Genomic DNA, 20,721 nt, shown 5'->3' with positions numbered 1-20,721 from the left:
GATCAGTGGTTTTCACTTTTTTTTTTTTTTTTGGCTAGGTCCTACTAGTGGCTCTATTTTACAGAGAAAGTTTGAACTATAACTTCCTCCTAAGGACTCTGCAGGCCAGTTTAAAAACTGGCAGCCTAGATATCTATAAAGTAGATAGTTTTGATTTTGTTAATTATAAATCGCATTAGAATACTTTTTTTTTTTTGAGACGGAGCCTCACCGTGTTACCCAGGCTGGCATACAGTGGTACAATCTCGTCTCACTGCAAACTTCACCTCCCGGGTTCAAGCAATTCTCCTGCCTCTGCCTCCTGAGTAGCTGAGATTACAGGCGCTTGCCACCACACCTGGCTAATTTTTGTGTTTTTAGTAGAGACAGGGTTTCACCATGTTGGTCAGGCTGGTCTTGAACTCCTGACCTCATGATCTGCCCACCTCAGCCTCCCAAAGTGCTAGGATTACAGGCGTGAGCCACTGTGCCTGGTCTAGAATATTTTTTATTTTATTTTTATTTTTATTTTTTTTGAGACAGAGTCTTGCTCTGTTGCCCAGGCTGGAGTGCAGTGGCGCGATCTCGGCTCACTGCAAGCTCCGCCTCCTGGGTGTCAAGTAATTCTCATGCCACAGCCTCCCAAGTAGCTGGGACTACGGTGTGTACCACCGCGCCTGGCTAATTTTTGTATATATATATATTTTTGGTAGAGATGGGTTTTCACCATGATGGCCAGGCTGGTCTCAAACTCCTGGCCTCAAGTGAACCACCTGCCTCAGCCTCCCAAAGTCCTGGGATTAGAGGCATGAGCAACCATGTCCAGTCTAGAATACATTTAATATTGCAACCCCATACACACACACACACACACATACATGAATATATATACACGATCCATGAAACAATACTTAACCCGCTATATGCGATTCAGACTCAAGTTTATTGTTTTCTTTTTCTTTTAATGCTAGTTGTGATACATTAAATTTTACAATTCACTCATGGGTCTCAACCTACAGTCTGTGAAACACTTCCTTAAGGTAGCTTCCAGCTAAGGAGTTTACAATTCTACTGATATTAAGTTGTTCCCGTCGTTCCTCCTGCCCCATCTGGTGAGAGGTATCCATAGCCCTCTGCAAACAGGGTGCTTCTCTTGGGACTCAGCACCCATCAGCTCCTCCTCTCTGATAGACATGAAATATAAGGGTCAGCATCTTGGCAGAAACCCCGAGAGAAAAAAAAAAAAAAAAGCTCGGGGCAGTCTGAGCTATGTGAGTCATGCAACATTTATCAAGCTCACAGATATAGGAGCATGGGACTTTAGTCATCCCTCTTCCCCACAACCCCATGCTCCGGGGCAACTGTTCAAAGGCATTTTGTTCCTGACTAGCTGCCTCACCCACTATCTTCATGCTCTTGGAATCTGTGATACAAAGAACAATGTACGGCCAATCAAGAACTAATTTTTTTTTCTTTGAGACGGAGTCTCACTCTGTTGCTCAGGCTGGAGTGCAGTGGCCTGATCTCACTGCAACCTCCGCTCCCCCGGTACAAGCGATTCCCCTGCCTCAGCCTCCCGAGTAGCTGGGATTACAGGAGTGCACCACTGCGCCCAACTAATTTTTGTATTTTTTAGTAGAGATGGGGTTTCACCATGTTGAGCAGGCTGGTCTTGAACTCCTGACTTCATGATCTGCCCGCCTCGGCCTCCCAAAGTGCTGGGGTTGCAGTCATGAGCCACCGCGCCCGGCCCCTATTTTTATTTTGGTTTTTTTTTAAGACAGTCTTGCTCTGTCGCCCAGGCTAGAGTGCAGTGGCATGATCTTGGCTCACTACAAGCCTCCCAGGTTCAAGCAATTCTCCTGCCTCAGCCTCCTGAGTAGCTGGGATTACAGGCACGTGCCACCACACCCAGCTAATTTTTGTATTTTTAGTAGGTATGGGGTTTTGCCATGTCGGTCAGTCTGGTCTCAAACTCCTGATCTTAGATGATCTGCCCGCCTCGGTCTCCCAAAGTGCTGGGATTACGGGCACGAGCCACTGTGCCCGACTGAGCTTATGTGATAGATGTAATAAATTCTTGGTAAACAATTTCAGAACTGCCTCTTCTTTATTCCTTCAAGAGACCCATTTGTAACTGCTGCTAATTGGAGTGTATATTTAGGACAACCTGAATCTATCCTCTTGGGTAGCCAACCTCAAGCTCTGGGCTCTGTACGTAGTCTTATTTTTTGAATCTCGTTATTCAAGCTTGACATTCTTATAATTATGAAAGCCTGCCAACCTGCTACATATTGACAAACATGAAACGTTTTTGCCAAGAGCTTTGGAAAAACCTGTACTTCAGATCCTACTGTGAACCCAAAGTGTCTGAGACAGGTCTCAATCAATTTAGAAAGTTTATTTTTGCCAAGGTTAAGGATGTGGCCATGGCAGCCTCAGGAGGCCCTAATGACACGTGCCCAAGGTGGCGTGGGTACAGCTTGCTTTTATGCATTTTAGGGAGCCATGAGACATCAGTCAATACGTGTAAGATGTACGTTCAGTCTGGAGAGGCAGGACAACTTGAAGCAGGGTACAAGAGGAGGTTCCAGGTGATAGGTAGATAAGAGACAAAAACAGTTGCATTCTTTTGAGTCTTTGATTAGCCTTTCACTGAATATACAATTTATATGTGACAGGAAAGTAGAGAAATAGTCACCTATGTTTTAGTTTGGCTCAGTGAATATACATTTTTACATAAAAAAAATAGGGCAGAGGGGCTGGGTGCAGTGGTTCACGCCTGTAATCCTAGCACTTTGGGAGGCCGAGGCCGGCAGATCACTTGAGGCCAGGAGTTTGAGACCAGCCTGGGTAACATGATGAAACCCCATCTCTATTAAAAATACAAAAAATTAGCTGGGCATGGTGGTATATGCCTGTAGTCCCAGCTGCCTGGGAGGCTGAGGTGGGAGGATCGCTTGAACTCCGGAAGCAGAGGTTGCAGGGAGCTGAGATTGCACCACTGCACTCCAGCCTGGGCGACAGAGGGAGACCCTGTCTCAAAAAATAAAATAAAATAAAATAAATAAAAGAGGGCAGAGGAAGCAATCAAATATGCATTTGTCTCAGGTGGCCAGTGGGATGACTGTCTCTCCCGCACCTGTGAAGACGAGCCATCAATTTACATTGCCAGGGTGAAATTCATCATAACTGTTTTATAGTAAAGATGTTGAGTAACTGTTTTATAGTAAAGATGTTTTATAGTAAAGTAAAGGAATTTCCTCGTGGGCACATTGTGAGGGAGGTACGTCGCTTTTTTATCTTTGCAGCTATCTCATTTAGAAATAAAATGGGAGGCAGTTTTACCTGATGCAGTTCCCAGCTTGACTTTCCCGTCGGCGTAGTGATTTTTGTGTCCCGAGGCTTATTTTCCTTTCACGCTACCAATTCATCAAACTAGGAGCACAGCAATAACTGAGTCCCTAAGAGCCAAAGGGCAACGTTCGGTATGAACTAAGATGGGTCTTTCAAATCAAAAATATGGGAATCTTAGAGTTGATCTTGCAGGATTGAGCAGAGTTGGGGCCTCAAAATACGCCTGCCTGTATGTAGAAGGATCGCTCGATTCTGGGAGGTGGAGTTTGCGGTGAGCCAAGATTGAGCCACTGCACTCCAGCCTGGGCAAAAGAGTGAGACCCTGTCCAAAAAGAAAAAAAAAAGCCTGCAGGGTGGGTGACTCACATATGTAGTCCCAGCACTTCAGGAGGCCAAGGCAGAATTGCTTGAGGCCAGGAGTTCAAGATCAGTCTGGAAGACATAAAGAGACCCCTTCTCTATAAAAAAATTTTAACACAATTAGCCAGGCAGGCCAGGTGTGGTGGCTCACGCCTGTAATTCCAGCACTTTTGGAGGGTGAGGCGGACAGATTGCTTGAGCTCAGGAGTTTTGAGACCAGCCTGGGTAACATGGCGAAACCCCTTCTCTATTAAAAATACAAAACATTAGCTCGGCATGGTGGCGTGCACCTGTGGTCCCAGCTACTTGGGAGGCTGAGGCAGGATGATCCTTTGAACCCAGGAGTTCAAGGTTCAAAGTACAGTGAACTATGATCATGCTGCTGCACTCCAGCCTGGGTGACAGAGACCCTGTCTCTAAAAAAATAAAAAATTAATGCCATGCAATTTTCAACTTCTAAACTTGGATTTCTTGGGATAATAAGCTACACCCTAAACCCCAGTGTTTTCCTAACAACCACACATTTGGGTGGTGTTTCTATATCCACTTTTTTTTTTCTTTTCTAAGACAAGGTCTCGTTCTGTCACCCAGGCTGGAGTGCAGTGGTGTAAATATGGCTCATTGCAAGCCTCGACCTCCCAGGCTCAAGTGATGTTCCTGCCTCAGCCTCCCAAGTATCTGGGACTATAGGCACACACCACTATGCCCGGATAATTTTTGTATTTTTTGTAGAGACAGGTTTCATCATGTTGCCCAGGCTGGTCTCAAACTCCTGGGCTCAAGTGATCCACCTACCTTGGCCTCCCAAAGTGTTGGGATTATAGGTGTGAGCCACTATGCCGCACCCTACATTCACTATCTTATGTGACTGTTATAATATTAGAAGTTGGACAGGTATATTGAGGAATTTTTTTTTTTTTTTTTTTTTTTTTTTTTTGAGACAGAGTCTTGCTCTGTCACCCAGGCTGGAGTGCAGTGACACAATCTCGGCTCACTGCAACCTCTGCCTCCCAGGTTCAAGCGATTCTCCTGTCCCAGCCTCCCAAGTAGCTGGGACTACAGGCGTGCACCACCACGCCCATCTAATTTTTGTATTTTTAGTAGAGACGGGGTTTCACCATGTTGGCCAGGATGGTCTTGATCTCCTGACCTCGTGATCCACCCGCCTCGGCCTCCCAAAGTGCTGGGATTACAGGCGTGAGCCACCGTGCCCCACCGAAAATATTGGGTTCTTTATCAGATGGTAGGAGGGACAATATTAATTAGAACTGCACCTACCAGTTACCTTGTCACACTCTCCCTGAGTCTCCTGATCCTGTTTATAAAATGGGAACACATTTTGGTTTGGCCATAATTCCCTATTCTCAACCTCCACATATGAGTATGAGAGTACTACAAATATCATCAGCTCCACTCTACGGACTCTGAGTCCAGCCCTGGATCTAATCCTATAGCCACAACTTCAGAAACATGCTCATGCAGATACAAATCAGCTTAAAGTGGCATTGAGGAATACCAGCACATGAACAGATGCTCACCATCACCAGCCATGTGGCAAATGCAAATCAAACACAGTGAGATAGCACTTCACGCCCACTAGGATGGTTATAATCAAAATGACAGATAATGACAAGTATTGACAAGGACATGGGGAAACTGGAATCCTCACACACTGATGTAGGAATGTAAAATGGTGCAGCTGTGGCTGGGTGCGGTGGCTCACGCCTATAATCCCAGCACTTTGGGAGCCCGAGGCAGGTGGATCACCTGAGGTCAGGAGTTCAAGACCAGCCTGGCTAACATGGTGAAACCCCACCTCTACTAAAAATACAAAAATTCGCCAGGCGCGGTGGCGGGCACCTGTATAATCTCAGCACTCAGGAGGCTGAGGTAGGAGAATCGCTTGAACCTGGGAGGCAGAGGTTGCAGTGAGCCGAGATCACACCATTGCACTCCAGCCTGGGCAACAAGAGCAAAACTCCGTCTCAAAAAAAAAAAAAAAAAAAAAAAGGTGCAGTTCCTAAAAACATTAAACATACAGTTACCACATGACCCAGCAATTCCAAATCCTAGGCACATATATCCAACAGCGTCAAAGCACATGCCCACACAGAAACTTGTATGCAAATGTTCATAGCAGCTTTATCCTAGTAGCCAGAAGGTGGAAATAGCCCAAATATTCAACTGATGGATAAACAAAACATGGTATATTCAAACAAGGGAATACTATCGAACAGTAAAAAGAAATGAAGTGGCTGGGCACGGCGGCTCACGCCTGTAATCCTAGTGTTACCAGAAAGGGGTCCTGATCCAGACCCCAAGAGAGAATTCAGGGTGAGTCCATAGAGTAAAGTCAAAAGTCTGTTTATTAGGAAAGTAATGGAAAAAAAAGTCTACTTCATAGGCAGAACAGCGGCATGGGCTGCTCGACTGAGTATACTTATAGTTGTTCCTTGATTATATGGTAAACAAGGGATGGATTATTCATGAGTTTTCCAGGAAAGGGGCATGGATTTCTTGGGACTGAGGGTCCCTCCCCACTTTAGACCATAAAGGGTAACTTCCAGAAGTTGTAAACTGTCACCGTGCTGGTGGGAGTGTCTTTTAGCATGCTAATACATTATAATTAGTATATAATGAGCAATGAGGATGACCAGAGGTCACTCGTCACCATCTTGGTTATGGTGGGATTTGGCCAACTTCTTTACCACAGACTTTTATCAATCAGCAAGGTCTTTGTGACCTTTATCTTGTGCCAACCTCCTGTCTCATCCTATGACTAAGAATGCCTAACCTCCTGGGAATGCAGCCCAGCAGGTCTCAGCCTTATTTTACCCAGCCCCTATTCAAAATGGAGTTGCTCTGGTTTGAACACCTCTGACACCAGCACTTTGGGAAACTGAGGCAGGTGAGTCACTTGAGTCCAGGAGTTCGACACCAGTCATGGTGAAACCCCATCTGTACTAAAAAAATGCAAAAATTAGCCGGGCATGGTGGTGCATGCCTATAATCTCAGCTACTTAGGAGGTTGTGGTGGGAGGGTTGCTTCAGCCTGGGAGGTCGAGGCTGCAGTGAGCCATGACTGCCTCACTGCACTCTGGCCTGGGTGACAGATAGACATCCTGTTTCAAAAAATAAAAATAAAAAAATAAAAAAGAAATGAAGCACTGATGCCTGCTATAACATGAATGAACCTGGAACACACTGTGCTAAGTGAAAGAAGCCAGACAAAAGGCCCAATATTGTATGATTTCAGTGAAATGTACAGAACAGGCAAATCTATAGATAGGAAAGTACTTGCCAGGGGCTGGGGCTAAAAGAACTGTCAGGGTAATTGAAGTGACTGTTAATGAGCGTGAAGTTTCTTTTTGGGGTGATGACAGTGTTTTGGAATAGATATTGGTGATGGTTGCATAACCTCTGAATACCACTGAGATGGTGAATTTTACGGCATGTGAGTTAAATCTTAAAAAAAAAGAGAAATAAATTGCCTTAAATGGGGCTGATCTAAAATCCGTTTTAGTCACCTAAGCTAAATTTTGCCATAATTACAAGAATGGCTATGTGTCGTGTTAGAATGGGAAGCTGTCTTTGTGGTATCATTGCATTATATGTATTAACTGACACATTTAAATCTTCAGAAACTCTTGAGATAGATTCCGTCATTTCCATTGAAGAAGAAATGGCACCACTTCAAGGTCAAGTAACTTGCCCAAGACCACACAGTAGAAGCTATGGTAGAAATCCTGGTTCACCAGACTCAGTGTGCAGTCTGCAAATTGTTTGCATGTCTGCATACCCAGTAGGTGGATGCTCCTTAAGGACAGCAACCATCTTTTCTTTTTTTTTTTTTTGGAGTGAAATGGCACAGTCACTGCTCACTGCAGCCCTGACCTCCCAGGCTCAAATGATCCTCCCTCCTCAGCCTCTGGAGTAGCTGGGACTACAGTCACATGCCACCATGACCTGCTAATTTTTAGGCTTTTTGTAGAGACAGGAGTCACCTATGTTGCCCAGGCTAGTCTCAAACTCCTGGGCTCAAGCAATCCCCCCACCTCGACCTTCCTAAAGTGCTGGGATTACAGACATGAGCCACTGCGTCTGGCCTCTTCATTTTACCTCAAACCCTGGTAGTATCTGGCCAGTACGGATGTAATGATAATTAAATTTATTCATTCATCGAATGAATACACTGGAATACGGTGTACAGTGGTACACTGGTTTGTACCACTGGGGACACAGCCATGAATAAGACAACTTCCTAGCGAGCAAAAATGCATCACTTTAGGTAGCAAAAGTTGACATCCATGAAAACAAAGGAGAGGGAATTAGGGAAGTGTCTGAGGCAAACCAAGTAAAGAAACAAGCAATAAGAGCAGGAGTGCCTTCCAAGATAAAGGCACAGTGGGCACGGTACAAAAATCTCTGAAAGAGAAGTCAGCTTTTTGGAAAAAAAGGAAGACAGGGTGGCCAGCATGGCTTGAGTAGACTGCTGAGTGACAATAAAGTTGCCAAAGCCAATTTGGCCCAATCCTATTAGAACTTGCAGGCCATAGTAAGAAATCTGCGTTTTATTCTAAAACAGCTTTCTGAGGATTTTTAGCAGACCTGTGATCTGACTTGGGCTGTAGGGAACAGCATGCACGGGTATTGGGGAGTGGACAGTATGGCCACTGATTGTAAGGACTCTTCAATTTTGAATAAATCACAGTGACAGGCACTGAAATGGACTGAGATCAGGATCGTATAAAAAATCCTATTTTGGACATGTTAATTTTGGTATGCCTTTTATGGTATTATGGCCGGATGTGGTGCCTCATGCCTATAATCCCAGCACTTTGGGAGCCCGAGGCAGGCGGATCACTTGAGGTCAGGAGTTCGAGACAGCCTGGCCAATATGGTGAAGCCCCGTCTCTACTAAAAATAAAAAATTAGCAGCCAGGCACGGTGGCTCACGCCTGTAATCCCAGCACTTTGGGAGGCCGAGGCGGGTGGATCACCTGAGGTCAGGAGTTTAAGAGCAGCCTGGCCAACTTGGCGAAACCTTGTCTCTACTAAAAATACAAAAAATTAGCCGGGTGTGGTGGCGGGCACCTGTAGTCCCAGCTACTCGGGAGGCTGAGGCAGGAGAATGGCGTGAACCCAGGAGGCGGAGCTTGCAGTGAGCCGAGATCGCGCCATTGCACTCCAGCTTGGGCAACAGAGCGAGACTCCGTCTCAAAAAAAAAAAAAAAATTAGCCAGGCATGGTGGCGGGTGCCAGTAATCTCAGCTACTAGGGAGGCCGAGATGGGAGAATTGCCTGTACCTGGGAGGGGGAGGTTGCAGTGAGCTGAGATCGCGCCACTTGAACTCCAGTCTGGGCGACAGAGCAAGACTCCGTCTCAAAAAAAAAAAAAAAAAAAAAATTAGCTGGGCATAGTGGCATGGTGGTAGGCCCTTGTAGTCCTAGCTACTCGGGAGGTTGAGGCAGAATTGCTTGAACCCGGGAGGCAGAGGTAACAATGAGCCGAGATCGCACTACTGCACTCCAGCCAGGCAACAGAGGGAGGCTCTGTCTCATATAAATAAATAAAATAAATGGCATTATCAAGCAGGTAGCTCAACAGGAGCCTAGCTCAGGGAGAAGTTTGAACTGGAGATTAAACACCTCAAACATAAAGATGACACTTAAAATCACGAGACTAGGGATTAAGTATAGGGAAGGCAACCAAGCACAAAAAAAGGCATACTACATCACTGCATGTTTAAAAGGACCCTTTAGAGACAAAAGTTAGTGAGGTAGGAGGACGACTAGTGTTGCTTAAAAGAACACGAGTGTGAGTCAACAGAGTGAGTGATTGAGCCCAATCCTGCAGAGGTCTAATAAAATAAGGATTCAGAACTGATTGTTCAATTTGGCAAAAGGCAGGCTATGGCTAATCTTTTTTTTTTTTTTTTTTTTTTTTTTTGAGACGGAGTCTTGCTCTGTCGCCCAGGCTGGAGTGCAGTGGCGGGATCTCGGCTCACTGCAAGCTCCGCCTCCCGGGTTCACGCCATTCTCCTGCCTCAGCCTCCCAAGTAGCTGGGACTACAGGCGCCCGCCGCTACGCCTGGCTAATTTTTTGTATTTTTAGTAGAGACGGGGTTTCACCGTTTTAGCCGGGATGGTCTCGATCTCCTGACCTCGTGGTCCGCCCGCCTCGGCCTCCCAAAGTGCTGGGATTACAGGCGTGAGCCACAGCGCCCGGCTATGGCTAATCTTAAGACCAGTCAAGTGGAGGAATAAAAGCCTACGGAGTAAACAAATGGACTGAATGATTGGCTAGACCCAAGTACAGTTGACCCTTGAACACAGGTTTACACTACATGGATCCACTTATAGGCAGATTTTTCCACCTCTCCCATTGCTGGGACAGCAAGACCAACCCCCGCCCTCTTTTTCAGCCTCAGAGATGCCCAGGCTGGAGTGCAGTGGTGTGATCATGGCTCACAGCAGCCTCAACTTCCAAGGCTCAAGTGAACCTCCCACCTCAGCCTCATGGGTAGCTGAGGCTATAGGCACACACCACCATGCCTAGGGCTTTTTTAAAAAAAGTTTTTTGGAGATGAGGTCTCGCTATTGTTGTCCAGGCTGGTCTCAAATTCCTGGGCTCAAGCAATCCTCTTGCCTCGGCCTCCCAAAGTGTTGGAATTACAGGCATGATCTACCATGCCTGGCAGGTACATTTTTAGGAAGTAAAAAAATTATACTTGAATTTTTGCCTGTGCAAGGGGTCAGTGCCTCAACCCTCTCATTGTTCAAGGGCCAACTCTACTCTGACGATGTTCACTGGTTTGTTCCTATTGGAAAGGAAATGTCAGCAAAAATCATCTTAGAAAATAAGTATTATGTGCTTTTCTTTTATCATAGAATTGTAAAATCAAAAGGAGCCATGTAGAAGGCCCTTGAAAATTCTTAAGTTGCTGCACACACATAAAATTCTATTATCATGGATAGAGCGTAGAGTCACTCACTCTACACTACCTTAGTGCAGTCCCTATAGAAGTTTCATCAAGCTTTTTTGCTTGTTACAAATCACTTTAAACCTGTAAAACACCTGTAAAAACAGCTCCTCATTGTTGAAGGTATATTTACTGTCCATGTCCTTTGAAAGATGTTTTTACCATCTTTATTTCAATAATTAACTGTGGTGAGTGCTGTAAAGGGAAAGTCTCAGCATGTGATTGGAACATTTAGAATACTGGTGGGAGAAGTCCACCAGGCAAAGGGAAGAGCACTGCAATCAGACAGTGTCTGTGTCTTCCCTAAGGCAGAAGGAGCGGTGCGGTGGCTCGCACCTGTAATTCCAGCACTTTGGGAGGGCGAGGCAGGCAAATCACAAGGTCAGGAGTTCAAGACTAGCTTGGCCAAGATGGTGAAACCCCATCTCTACTAAAAATATTTAAAAAATAGCTTGGCGTAGTGGCGGGCACTTATAATCCCAGCTACTTGGGAGGCTGGGGCAGGAGAATCACTTGAACCCAGGAGGCGGAGCTTGCAGTGAGCTGAGATTGTGCCACTGCACTCCAGCCTGGGTGACAGAGCAAGACCTCAACCAAAAAAGAAAAAGAAAGAAATTAAGATTGTAGGCATTTTCTTCCTTGTTTTGGTTCAACTGCCAGAACTTAAAATCAAACTATACATGCGTCGACCTGCTCAGCTTAGGTTTCTGGTGAACTTCTTTCATACGAATGTTGCTGTTTTACCTCACACTATGTTAACAACTCCAAGTTTCCCCAAATTTTCGTTCCACTTAGTTTTAAATGCAAAACAGACTTGGTTGTAGATAGCCAAATATTACGTGCGCACGCACACACACACGCACATACACACACACAACCCCCCCCCCCCCACCCCGCCCCTGACAGAGGGTGTTCCAGTCATTCCTTAGCCTTTGTTCACTTCCTAACATGCCAGCAGGCTCCTTCTGCCTCAGGGAAGACACAGACACTGTTTGTCTGACTGCAATCCTGTTCTCTTTGCCTGGTGGACTTCTCCCACCAGTATTCTAAATGTTCCAATCACATGCTGATTCCCTTTATAGCACTCACCACAGTAATTATTGAAATAAAGATGGTAAAACCTTAATTTCATCACCTTTTCTTTCCCCTGCCCAACTCCCAACACACCAAAAGGTTTACATAAGCACTACTAAGTAAGAGTGGCAAAATTTTTAAATTTAGAAATTTATTCTGTTTAATCCACAAGCTTTATATAGCTTTAGTTTAAAAAAAATCAAAACAAAAAAAAAATCAAAACAAAAACAGTGAAACCAAGACACTATTCCAAAGTCTGGGCCCTTCCAGCCTTCCAAATACAAGAGGCTCTGAAAGTTGTATATACCAATTGGAAGAACAAGACAAAAATATGAACAGAGCCATGACATTTCATTAAACAAATTGTATGTAACTGAAGGATCCTTTCTGGGACTAGCTCATTGCCTTTACAAAAGAAAAAAAACAAAACAAAAAAAACAAAACCAGAATAACAGAATGAGAGTCCAGTGTTCCAAATCAACTTGTTACACATCAATATAAACCCACAGTGTCCTGGCAAACAACATGCTTTCATTTTCTGTCTCATCCTAGAGCTCGAATCCTGATTCATTTCAGCAGAGACTCCACAGGCAACAGGAAAGATTGTGGCATTAAAATATTCATTTATACTTTTGTGGTAGTTCAAAACAGTGGTCTTATTTCTGGGCAAGCTTACAGACCATACAAGGTCAGAAGCATAACTTAAATGGGAGCTAAGACTCAAATGAAAAAAATAAGAAGAAGAAAGAAAAACAAAAAGAAAATCAAAACCAAAAAAACAAACAAAAAAACCCCTCTGGGAATAGCTAGGGCATTTAAAGGAACCATAAAAATGCCAACAGTATTTAAACCCCCTTTTTTAAAAAGGGAATTTTTTTTTGGCTTAAAATATTTCACTCAATGAATTATGTCAGCTGTCAATGAAAGAATGTCACTAATACACTGTGGACACCTTTTGCAATGTAAATCCATGCCCCCTTTTTTTACATGTTGAACTTCAACCTAGCAATTATTACAACAAATGTTATAGTCTAAAGCTCAAACACATTTTAGCAATTTTGAAATTGAACTGCGTACAAACCAAATAAAATTTACATCATAACAAACATTTCCCCCTAAGACTGTGGGGACACTTGGGCCTTCCTCATTGATCTCAGGGCCTTTTCACGCAGGTGCTTTTCTAAATCATCAAGGTTATCTTCAGCTTCACTTTCAGTCTCCTAAAAAAAACAGAATTTACACGGTTAAGTCTTGAGACCCTGGTGGGAAATGCCGAGTAAAGAGCAGAATCAAAGTGTGGGAGGGGAACATCACACACCGGGGACTGTTGTGGGGTAGGGGGAGCAGGGAGGGATATACCTAATGCTAAACGACGAGTTAATGGGTGCAGCACACCAACATGGCACATGTATACATATGTAACAAACCTGCACATTGTGCACATGTACCCTAAAACTTAAAGTATAATAATAATAAAATTAAAAAACAAACAAAAAAAAAAACCAACCTCACAAATCTTTTGAGTACTGAACTGTATGCAAATATAATGGCCACTGTGGATAGTTAATATTTTAAATAAATAAGTCACCTTTATAAAAAAAAAAAGTGTGGGGATCGCTGCACAACTGATATACTAAAACCCAGGGAACCACAAACTTTAAATGGGTGAACTGTATGGTACGTGACTTTTATCTCAGAGTAACTGGCTAATTAGTAGAAAAAACAATTTTGCTACTTCTCAAAACAAAATGACTTTGCTATCTGTACGTAAACTGCAAGACAGCCATATACAGAGTTCATAAATACCTTCTTCGGCTCTGGCGCTGCCACTGGCTCTTCCTGTGCTAATGTGGTTGTGGCAGCTGCAATGGCTGCAGGGGTCACAGCAGCTGCAGCAGCTGCAGCCACAGCCTTTTCCTTCTTGTGTTTTTTGTGCTTCTTGTGCTTCTTATCCTTTTTGTGTTTCTTGTCCTTCTTTTTCTTCTTTTTCTTTCCACCTCCTTCCTGATCTGAATTCTAGGAAGAAAAAAAAACAACACCCAGCATTTATAATCAATCTGATTAATATTCTGTCCAACTGAACATTTTATTTCCTCAAATCCCCAATGGACAAATCTCAAGATTTCCGAAAGGCTTTGGAGGGTGTGAGTGGGGAAGGCCCAAGGCCAATTATCACCAAGAAAAGTATTCAAAAGTCAGGGGCTATCTCCAGGATGAGCTCAATTCCAGCTCCTGAACTATTTGACCTTAGACAAATTGTTGAACTCTTTCTGAGACCTTTTTACCTAAAATAAGTGTAATAATCCCTACCTGATAAAGCTCTTGTGAAAATTAAATGAGAATATCTGTAAATCACCCATAATACTTGCCTAACATGTAGCAGACTTTTAATAAATGGTACCAGCCATTAGTCTAAACACATGCCTGTATGAATGCCATGTCTCTAGCTACCATCTGAGCTCTCCTATCTTTAGAGTGGGGATGACTGGTTCTTCCTCATGACACACATACCAAATTTATGCAAAAAGCAGGCTCCTATAATTTAATCCATAATATTTCAATTTCACACTTCTAAGCAATTACTTAAAATTCCTCACAAGTTAGCTTGCACAACTATTCAGTCAACCCAATTAAATATGGACATCTGAGGCCACAGCAGGAGGATCACTGGAGGCTAGGAGTTCAAGATCAGCCTGGTCAACACAGCAAGACCCTGTCTCTACAAAAAGTTAAAAACAAAAAACCAGCCAGGTGTAGCAGCATGTGCCTATAATCCCAGCTACTTGGGAGGCTGAGGCGAAGGGATCACCTGCGTCCAGGAAGGCTGCTGTGAGCTATGATCATCCCACTGCACTCAGCGTGGGTGACAGCATGAGACCCTGTCTCAAAAACAAACAAAAAACAGATGGACACCTAACCACTGATTTTATGCAATACAGAAACCTGCCCAAGATCAGATGTATAACTCACAAATGGGAAAAAAAGTTTAAACACCAATATTTTAATGCCCCAATGACATTTTCTCTGCTTCAAAGTGACCATATACATATTTATAAAAGGGTGTCCAAAATAAGGCAGACACATACTCTTGGCGGTGATGGGCTCGGTGTTGGGCTTTTGGCCTTTTTGACCGGTACAGCTGGTGACCAGTTTGTAGACGGTGACTGAGACTGGACGGGGGATGGAGGTGCTGGGGGCTTTTTAGCTGCTGGCTCAGGAGACCCGGAGACAGATCGGGAGGATGAGACCCTTCTTACAGACTGTGGGCTTGGGGAAGCAGCCCTAGACAAAAAGGAAAAAACATTCAGCATTGAGAACAGCCATCTCTCTTCACATGAGAAAACCACCAACTACACTGTACAACCAGGTTATGAATTTCAAATATACCACTTAGATTGCTGGTTGATTCAACTAACATATATCCAATTTACATTACCTATGTTTCCCAGAGGGTGGCTAAAGCCCCATAATCCTCTATCTATTCTGTTAATGATGCTTCTTATGTAAGATTAGTAATGTCAGTTCCTTACATCACACACAAGAAATGTTCAATGTCTTACTCAAGTTTAGTTTTGGAAGCATACCCCTCAAAAACAAATTAATAACTGCTAAGAACCAAGTAAAAGCCTGTGGCATTTAACTTATACCACAGAAACTATCCCAAAAAATGGAATAAGATCTGTAAATAGTACCTCAAGTTTGACTTAAAAGCTCATATTCATAACTTATTCCTTTTATATGGGGGTGGGGGGAAGCTTCCAAATATAAACAGCTATGTAAGTATTCCTAATGGAAAAGCATAAAATATTTTTACTTTTTTATCTTTTTAGGTTCCGGAGTCCTGGAGACTCTCCTAATGGGCCTAGTACTTGGAGACGGGGACTGCCTTCTTTGGGGTGATGACGACGCTCCTCTTCGAACGGGTGGAGGACTTGAGGAGGTCTGAGGAGCTCGAGGCCGTGGTGAGGGCGAATGCCGTTTGTTTGGTTGTGGTGATCGGGCCTCCCGGGTAGAGCGGCTTGGGGAAGACCCTTTCCTATGCTTGGATGATAATGAAGGTGAACGTCTCTTGGTGACTGGGGAGCTTCTTTGTTTGGGAGGTGGAGAATGGGAGACCCGCCGCTTTGGTGGTGGAGATGGTGATGCTCTTCGTTTAGGAGGGGGAGGAGGTGAAGCCGTTCTTCTCTTTGGAGGTGGAGAAGGAGAGTATCTCCTCTGTATTGGAGGAGAGTATCTTCTAGGAGAAGGTGAGCGCCGACGTGGGGGAGGAGAAGGAGTCCTAGGAAAAAGATACATAATTAAGCTGAAAGGCTCAACAAAATACAGAAACAGGATGAAAAGTAATCAGTAGGTTTGGCTATACTGTAGTTAGCACTAGGCAAAGGGAATATATTTATAAGTGAACATGCTATCTTTATATTCTCACTTAAATATCAATAAAACTTGTTTATCTCAGCTGACTGCAACACAGGACACTGTCTGCAGGACTAAGTACAAAAAAGAAAAAAAGACATTTTGATTAACAAAAATTTGCAATTTTCAGAAGATGTGAATTTGTCAATCTTTTAACATCTATACAAAATTAACGTTTTTTGAAAACAGAATCTTGCACTGTATTAACTGAACATCAGTTATTATATAATAACCAAGTAACTGTATTAGCAAAACTCTATTATGGTCACCTTAGGAAGTCTGCACTTTAAAGAGGTCTCCTATGTGGTATCCTCTCTGAATGAGCATTTGGACACTGTATGAATAATTAAGAGTTCACTGCACAAGCCTTAAAGACACTTCTACCTCCCCTCAAAGAGACTGTTCCATTTTCTGTCTCAAAAGGCCACTTTTCAGGCCAAACTGCCTAATTTCCTCTTGGATATTGCAGACTTTTAGATCAAAGTAAATTCCTGCCCAGAGTTAGCTTTACAATAGGCCATATATTTTGGCAATGTGGTAGGGCACAATTTCATCACTGTATCTGGGTAATTACTTAGTAATTCTCAACTCCCATTTCCTCACCTGAAAAATGCAAACAATACCAACTATCAAGCAAGGTCGCTTTGAAGACTAGTAGTAAAGCATATAAAGCACCTAGCACTTTGCCTGGCACTTAACAGGCATTCAAGAGTGGCAGCCAGGCTGGGCAGAGTGGGTCACACCTGTCATCCCAGCACTCTGGGAGGCTGAGGCGGATCACCTGAGGTCAGGAGTTTGAGACCAGCCTGGCTACCATGGTGAAACCTCATCTCTACAAAAAATACAAAAACTGGCTGGGTGTGGTGGCAGATGCCTGTAATCCCAGCTACTCGGGAGGCTGAGGCAGGAGAATCGCTTGAACCCAGGAGGCGGAGGTTACAGTGAGCTGAGATCGGCCACTGCACTCCAGCCTGGGTGACAGAGTGAGACTGTCTCAAAAAAAAAAAAAAAAAAAAAAAAAAAGAGTGGCAGCATGTCATTACATTGCTTGGCAACATATCCGAGCAATGACATTAAAACATTTTCCCCTAATTTTCACTTTAAAATAGTTGTAAAGAAGAGCTACAAAAATAGGAGATTTGCCACTTCACCATGCTAATATTTTATATAACCATAAGAAAATTAGCAAAACTGTAAAATGAACCTCAGTGATAACTTAGTATTACTAAAATAGCAAACAACCCAGTTTTCCACTACTGAATGTCCCTTTTCTGTTCCAGGACTTAATCAATGTTCCTTTTCTGCTCCAGGACCCTACATCTCTTTAGTTCTTGCCAATCTGTGACTGTTTCTGTCATTGTCTTTCATGACTGACACTTTTGAATACTGGTCAGGTATTCTGTAAAATGACTTTCAATTTGGGTTTGTCTGATTATTTCCTAATAATAAGACTGAGGTTTGGCATAATTGGTAAGCATACTACAGAGGTATCCAGGAAATACACGATGCCAATGTTTTATTGAGGATGTTATCTTTGATTATTTAGGTAAGAGATATCTGCCAGTATCCTCTAAATTTTCTCTTTACAATTACTAGTCAATACCATCTTTTAATGTATTAACATCTTTATGACAATACATGATTCACCTGCTATAAAATCTACCTATTTACCCATTTAAGGTCCATTTAAAGTATACAATTAAATGATTTTAGTATATTCATATAGTTCTGCAGCTATTACCATCCCCATGTCCACCCCACCCTAATCTGTTTTCTATCTCTATAGATTTGTGTATTCTAGACTTTTCATATAGATGGAATCATACGTGTTCTTTTATGACTGGCTGAACAATGCTAGTCTGCTTACTCTAATAAGATATAATCATCAGAAAGATTCAGAGATCCTTTTGTAGTTCATAAGCATGATGATTGGGTTTTCACATGCACACATGAGCTGTGCCTCTCTCCAACCTTGTTAGGAAGTGAGCACCATTACTCATCTGATGTTATCAGGGGCGGGGGGAGTTGGGGAGATGCTCCAGTTAGCATATTTGACAAAGTACCTTCGTCGTGGTGGTGGTGTGGGAGTCCTGCGCCGTCGAGGAGGAGGGGCGGGAGAAGGAGACCGTCGCCTTCTGGTGGGTGGTGGGGATGGACTTCTCCTCCGTCTACCACTAAACCAAGAAGAATTATAGTTAATTTTTTTTCTTTTTTTTGTGTGTGTGTGATGGCGTCTCACTCTGTCGCCCAGGCTGGAGTGCAATGGCATGATCTTGGCTCACTGCAACCTCCGCCTCCCAGGTTCAAGCAATTCTCCCCCCTCAGCCTCCTGAGTAGTTGGGATTACAGGCACCCATAATCATGCCTGGCTAATTTTTTAAAATATTTTTGTAGAGACGGAGTTTCACCATGTTGGCCAAGCTGGTCTTGAACTCCTGACCTCAGGTGATCTGCCTGCCTCAGCCTCCCAAAGTGCTGGGATTATAGGTGTGAGTTACCACGCCTGGCCTATATAGTTAACTTTGAGTCAGTGGCATTTATAGTTAAGTGACCCAGAAGACACGGTTTCAATTATCATTAACCCCAAGGGCAGCAATGGTTACTAAGTTTCAGAACAGTGTTTTTCAAACTACAGGTCAAGATCATCAGTCAAGACCCTGGGTGGCAGCATTAAAAAACTTAATAAAACCAGAGTGTTTTACTTGTGACAAGGGTAAGTACCGTTTTGTGAAATTTTTCTTTTACTCTGGATCACAATACCAAACATTCTTGACATGACACAGAGTGAAAAAGTTCGGCAACAGCACATAAGAGCACTGCTTTTTATTGGGGATGCACATTAGAACCACCTAGGAAGCTTATGTGAGATTTATGCCTACCAGGTCTGGGCTAAGGTCCAGCCAGGTGTTTTTGGGAAAGGCTCTCCAGGTGATTCTAATTCCTTATTAGGAATCAACTGCTTTAGAGACTCTAATACAGAAATTCAAAAATGCCAATAGTCACAAGTGGCTTAAGACCCAAGTCTGGACGTCTCTGCTCCAAGCTCTTAATTTTTTTTGCCCAGGACAGGACTCATGCTTCCTGTGAATCTGGAATTATGTTTTGTCTTGGTTCCCGTTAGAAACTAAGAAATCTCTGTTAACTGAACAGACAAAATCCTAAAAGTCACCACTAAATTTTTCAACTTAAATCTGCTTATGCTTTGTGGGGACTAAGACCTCACACTAAATACATATAAAATATTCAAAACCAGGCTCTATCTCCCCTTCTTTTCTTGAGACAGAGTCTCGCTCTGTTGCCCAGGCTGGAGTGCACTGGCACGATCTGGGCTTACTGCAAGCTCTGCCTCCTGGGTTCACACCATTCTCCTGCCTCAGCCTCCCAAGTAGCTGGGACTACAGGTGCCCGCCACCACACCCAGCTAATTTTTTGTATTTTTAGTAGAGACGGGGTTTCACCGTGTTAGCCAGGATGGTCTTTATCTCCTGACCTCGTGAACCACCCGCCTCGGCCTCCCAAAGTGCTGGGATTACAGGCGTGAGCCTCTTTTTTTTTTTTTGAGACGGAGTTTTGCTCTTGTTGCCCAGGCTGGAGTGCAATGGCACGATATCGGCTCACTGCAACCTCCACCTCCCGGATTCAAACGATTCTCCTGCCTGAGCCTCCCGAGTAGCTGGGACTACAGGCATGCGCCACCACGCCCGGCTAACTTTTTTGTATTTTTAGTAGAGATGGGGTTCCGTCGTGTTGGCCAGGCTGGTCTCAAACGTCTGATCTCAGGTGATCCACCCAACTCAGCCTCCCAAAGTGCTGAGATTACAGGCATGAGCCACCGCACCCGGCCTCTATCTCCCCTTCTAAAATACGATACTGAAGCATAATTCCAAATAATCCTTCCTCCATCTCTAAATCCTAGGAACCTGATGGCAATTTCTAATGGCATTAAACTTGAAGCTGCTGGTATATAACTTAAAATACTTTTTAAATGACGAGAAACAAAACAAAAACATCCTGGAGTAGAGCAATAAACATTAGTGTTGATTTTACTGCTGTGAGGAATCTCTTTCCAGAACAGAAAGTAGTGCCATAATTTGGTGGGGGGGTGGGGAGGGAAGGGGAGATGAAAGAGAAGAAATTGCACCACTAATCTAACTCTGTAAAGCAATTGTTTAGTTGCTGTGCTAGCAACTTCACAAAAGCCAGAGATAATTATAGCTGGGAAAGGAATGCTTTAGCAGCCAAACTAATCTTTTTTAGGTTTTTATCTTTTATTATCATGGAGCAGTTTCCTCCACAGTGTAAATACCCCGTGCTTTGCTCCATCACAAACACTGCTCACTGGTTCCTTTCCAAGAAAACACTCTTATTGATGAGATTACCTAAAACAACACAGCTTCAAAAACTGAGCTACAAAAAGGACAGTGGGATAGCTTCAGCAAGGATAAATACTTCAAAATTCAGTGGCAGCTAAGGCCCCAAAAGCAGAAAGCTGGTTAAGACAGACTAGTGTAATGCCAAATGTATAGGTCTAAGATCCAACTTTGTCACTTTGCGG

The 20,721-nt window shown here is 43.5% G+C and overlaps 1 protein-coding gene and 1 non-coding gene across 70 annotated transcripts in view, besides 1 other annotated feature; one reads left to right on the top strand and one right to left on the bottom strand.

The window, feature by feature from the left end:
* Positions 1,123–1,417: an enhancer, noted in NCBI's record as "tiled region #11281; K562 Activating DNase unmatched - State 8:EnhW". NCBI's record gives its function as "activates a minimal TATA promoter and a strong SV40 promoter by Sharpr-MPRA in K562 cells {active_cell/tissue: K562}" and the evidence as "EXISTENCE:reporter gene assay evidence [ECO:0000049][PMID:27701403]".
* SRRM1 (serine and arginine repetitive matrix 1) overlaps positions 11,874–20,721 on the bottom strand; it is a 29,980-nt gene continuing 21,132 nt past the window's right edge. For all 69 annotated transcript variants that reach the window (NR_159378.1, NR_159391.1, NR_159379.1 and 66 more), the window contains 5 exons: positions 18,230–18,340; positions 15,568–16,032; positions 14,840–15,035; positions 13,560–13,769; positions 11,874–12,973 (listed from right to left, as the gene is read on the bottom strand). Coding sequence is in view for 56 of the 69 variants with exons in the window: in NM_001366568.1 (NP_001353497.1) it covers positions 12,869–12,973; positions 13,560–13,769; positions 14,840–15,035; positions 15,568–16,032; positions 18,230–18,340 (1,087 nt within the window). In the remaining 13 variants the exon portion in view is untranslated. The remainder of the gene's footprint in view (positions 12,974–13,559; positions 13,770–14,839; positions 15,036–15,567; positions 16,033–18,229; positions 18,341–20,721) is intronic.
* LOC124904829 (small nucleolar RNA U13) lies at positions 18,068–18,172 on the top strand. Its single transcript, XR_007067425.1, has one exon. It is a non-coding gene; the product is annotated as a small nucleolar RNA U13 (small nucleolar RNA).

This window comes from Homo sapiens, chromosome 1 (assembly GCF_000001405.40).
Source record: "Homo sapiens chromosome 1, GRCh38.p14 Primary Assembly".
NCBI classification, from domain to species: Eukaryota; Metazoa; Chordata; class Mammalia; order Primates; family Hominidae; genus Homo; species Homo sapiens.
This window is presented reverse-complemented; position numbering and strand designations above follow the sequence as displayed.